General features: G+C 45.6%; 1 annotated feature.

The window, feature by feature from the left end:
* Positions 3,115–3,615: an enhancer, noted in NCBI's record as "H3K4me1 hESC enhancer chr18:8844937-8845437 (GRCh37/hg19 assembly coordinates)". NCBI's record gives its function as "activates a minimal SCP1, AML or CMV promoter by ChIP-STARR-seq in primed H9 embryonic stem cells {active_cell/tissue: H9 hESC(primed)}" and the evidence as "EXISTENCE:reporter gene assay evidence [ECO:0000049][PMID:30033119]".

Genomic DNA, 4,170 nt, shown 5'->3' on the forward strand with positions numbered 1-4,170 from the left:
TCAGGGAAAGAAATCAAAACAGAAGACAGAATTTCCACAGCATATAAAAATGCCACTTCACATTAACAGAGGTAAAAGAATTTCAAGCTCTCCAAAGATTTTTTCTCCCTTATTCAACTCTCTGACTTCATAATAAAATAAACTTTCAGTTCCTTTGGCTAAGAGGTAGATGAAAGTAGAATTGAGCTCACTAGTGAACTAGCTACGCATATGAGGCAAAAGGACTGGGCTAAATATTCCCAGGATGCTGCTCCTACACTTACTCCTTTTTCCTCCAAACACTTGTTGAAAAAGTACAGGTTGCATTCCTCCCTTGAGCCAGCACACTGAGACAAAGGTGAATAGTAATTTTCCTAGGGAATTACAAATGCAAGTGGGAAGGGACCTTAAGAACATCCTAACCAAACCTTCATTTTATACATACTTTCAATAACCGCCCACATTCTCTAGCTGCTTACTAGTGCCGGGTGCTTTCCCTATAACGTGGCACAGCAGTCTCTACCTGGCTGCATCTTAGAATCATCTAGAGTGACTTAAGGCTCCACCCCAGACCAAGCAAATCAGAATCTCTTGGATGTGGCTTCTGGTAATATTTTAAATGTTTCCCCTTGTGACTCTAATGAGCAGCTGGGATCAACAGCCAACAGTAGAGGAGAATTTCTTAAGCTAGTGGTTCCTAAACTATAATGCACACTGGATCACCAGGGAGTTTCAAAAACCCTGATGCCTGGCCAGGCACAGTGGCTCATGCCTGTAATCCTAGTACTTCGGGAGGATCCCCTGAGGCCAGGAGTTTGAGACCAGCCTGGTCAATATAGTGAGACTCCATCTCTACAAAAAATAAAACAATTAGCCAGGTGTGGTGATGCATAGCTGTAGTTCCAGCTACTCTAGAGGCGGAGGCGGGAGGATCACTCGAGCCCAGGAGTTTGAGGCTGCAGTGAGCAATGACCACATTACCACACTACCAGCCTAGGTGACAGACCAAGACCTTGTCTAAAAAAAAAAAAAAAAATCAATGCCTGGCCCCACCCGAGACCTCCTGATGTAACTGGTCTGGGGTGAGATCTGGGCATCAGAACTTTTTAAAGCTGCCTAGGTAATTCCACTTTGCAGCAACATTTGGGAGCCATGGTGGTAAGCGGATTTAAGAGTCTGAGGTCTGGTCAGACAGACATGGGTGCAAATTCTCCCTACCATACTGTGTGATCTTGGGCATTGTTCCTTGCCCTCTCTGGAGTTGAGTTTTCTCATGTTGTCAAGTGGGAGAACGACAGCATCTTTCCAAGGTGGCTCTGAGGGACTAATGAGGCTGTGAGTGACTGCAGGACCTGTCACATGAGAACTGCTCAACAAGTGCAAGTTGCTGTTGTCTCACTGAATTCTTCCAGTCAACCTGCCAATCAAGGTGACTGCCCTACTTTTATAGCTACAGGAACTGAGGATCAGAAAGGTATTTGGCTGTCTCAAGATTACACAGTAATTACCAGCAAAGCAGGCTTTCACACCAATGCTATACTGACCAGGTACTTGCAAGCTGACCCCAAACCCACTGCAATAACCACCCCTCTGGGAAAGCAAATGGAGCCAGGCTGCACGTTGTTGAACTGGCCTCACTAAAGGACACGATGTAGGCTGTCATGGTGGACCTGGGCCCATCTCAGCTCACCAGCTTCTGCCCTAGAGCTTAATAGACTAAATTACGTCTTGAATTTCACCGACTTCATTTCATCTCTTTTCAAGGTTGCAAAATAGCCTCAAATGACCTATTTGACCAGAATCCTTTCCTCAGTGTATTCTAGAAAAGCAATAGCTACTGATGACTGTTTCTTTTATTAATGTGGTACCATTTCTAAAGGGATCATGGCCTGTTAAATCCTCACATAACTCATGACAGAAGGATGAACTCAGACACTACTGACACATTATTATATTTGCCAAATGGCTTATGGAGAAGACAGGGAATTTGCCTAAAGCACTTCTACACCCTGAAGTATATATAATACTTTGACCCAATGTGTGAAAAAAGTATACAACCACAGTACTAGATGGGGTACCCAGCACCCTTAGGACCACAGGTTTACTTTGTTTACTGAAAACGTGTGTTCATCACTAAGAAGATGCCATCAGTGCACCGCCCCAGGTACCCCCACCAAGGCCCCGCCCTGTGTGAGGGCTGAAATCTTGGGGAAAGGAAGACAAGTGTTCAGCTCATCTTCTCTCATCTCCATCATCCTCTTACTCCTATATCTGGACATACACAATTGACTTTTCCCTGCTATGTAAAGTGACACAACCATTTCCAGAAATTCCCTCATCCCCATTCAATTAGAATGAAACCCCTACGCTGCCCCTACATAGGAACTCCGGAACAGCCACAACCGTGCTAAGGCAAAATTTCCCCTGCAAAGACGAGGAGCTACAGGGTTGCAGGACTAACTGCCTGTGCTGGTAATTTTGATGCCCCCAAGAATGCAGAAGGGATTTCTGCATGTGAAAAGCCACCATCCTCTTGGCCATAGAAAGGACCTACCAGTCACTTCTTGCCTTGCTGGCTCCACCATGAACGTGAACAAGGCCACTTCTAGACCCTACTGGCTGCAAACACTCCAAATAACAAAGCAAAAGCATCATCCCCCTGAGAACACTGTGTCCCTAAAAGTCAAATCTAAATTGAACTGAATTATCAGAGCCATGACAGATCTTGTCTAATTTTACCCTGCCCCACTTAGGGGAGGAGCCAGAACCAAGCTGATGTTTTAAAAATGAAATTTGGGACACTGTACTCAAGGCACAAATGCCCCATAAAGCAGCCTCAAAACCGATAGTTTCAAGATTCAATCCAATGATTAACTTGCTGTCTGTGAGATCAGACAGGCAGCAAAGTGCATCCACGGCAGTCAAGGCAAAGGCTGCAGTTAACACCTAAGCACGACATTGGCGCCCGGGGGGCTGCAGGCGGGGCAGTGACGCGAGTGGCCCAGTGAGGTACAGGAGCCCGCCTTGTTGCCTAGCAATGCCGTGCAGACGTCACTCTTTGGAGCATCAGTAGCCACAACCGGTTAACACATTACTCTGGCATTTCAACAAAGCATAAAATGAGCTTTCAATCACTGCTCCAGGTGGCAGATAAAATGCAGCGGATGGGGCATGTGCGTCAGAGGCAAGAACCCCTACCTCTGCCTCTGCATTTAAGATGACAAGATATTCTTCCCCAGGGCGGAAGCGCACCTTGTGTGTGTCCGGCCAGGTGGTGCAGCCCAGCAGGCTGCTGTGCACTTGCCAGGGAAGGCTGGTTTCTGCTTCCAGCTTCCGCAGGCTAATGCCGCTCTGCCACGTGCAGTGAGAGGAAAGCTAAGGCAACTTACTGTCCTTGCTGGAACCACGAATTAACAAATTAGGGCTTAATGGGCACACTGGCTTGTAGGCCCCACGGAAACAGGAGAGGTCTCTTCCTTGTGACCTCACAGTGTTCTGCATAAGTTTAGGTGACCTTCAATAAATGCTTGTTGGATCCAATACCCTCATTTATGATTCTGGGGGGAGTAGGTGCATTAAAATTTAAGGAATATGTAAAAAAGGACACCCTGTCATTTGAGACATGGATGAACCCGGTGCATTATTTTAAGCGAAATGAGCCAAGCCCAGAAAGACAAATACTACGTGATCTCACTTATATGTGGAATCTAAAAAAATTGAACTCATAGAAACAGAGAATAGAGGTTACCAGGGCTGCGGGGGTGGGGGTGGGTTGAGGAGATGTTGATCAAAGTATAACATCAGGAGGAATTAGTCAGGAGGAATATGTTCAGGACATCTGCTATACAACATGGTGACTGTGGTTAAGAACAATGTACGGTATAATTGAAAACTGCTAGGAGAATTGATTTTAAATGTTCTCATCACACCAAAAAAGATAAGTACGTGAGGTAAATGATATGTTAATTAGCTTGATTTAGTCATTCCACAATATATACATATATCAAAATATCACGGCCGGACGCGGTGGCTCATGCCTGTAATCCTAGCACTTTGGGAGGCTGACACAGGCAGATCACTTGAGCTCAGGAGTTCAAAACCAACCTGGGCAACATGGTGAAACCCCATCTCTACAAAAAAAAGAAAAATACAGAAAATTAGCCAGGCACGGTGTTGTATACCTGTAGTCTC

Source organism: Homo sapiens, chromosome 18, assembly GCF_000001405.40.
Source record: "Homo sapiens chromosome 18, GRCh38.p14 Primary Assembly".
In the NCBI taxonomy this organism is placed as follows: Eukaryota; Metazoa; Chordata; class Mammalia; order Primates; family Hominidae; genus Homo; species Homo sapiens.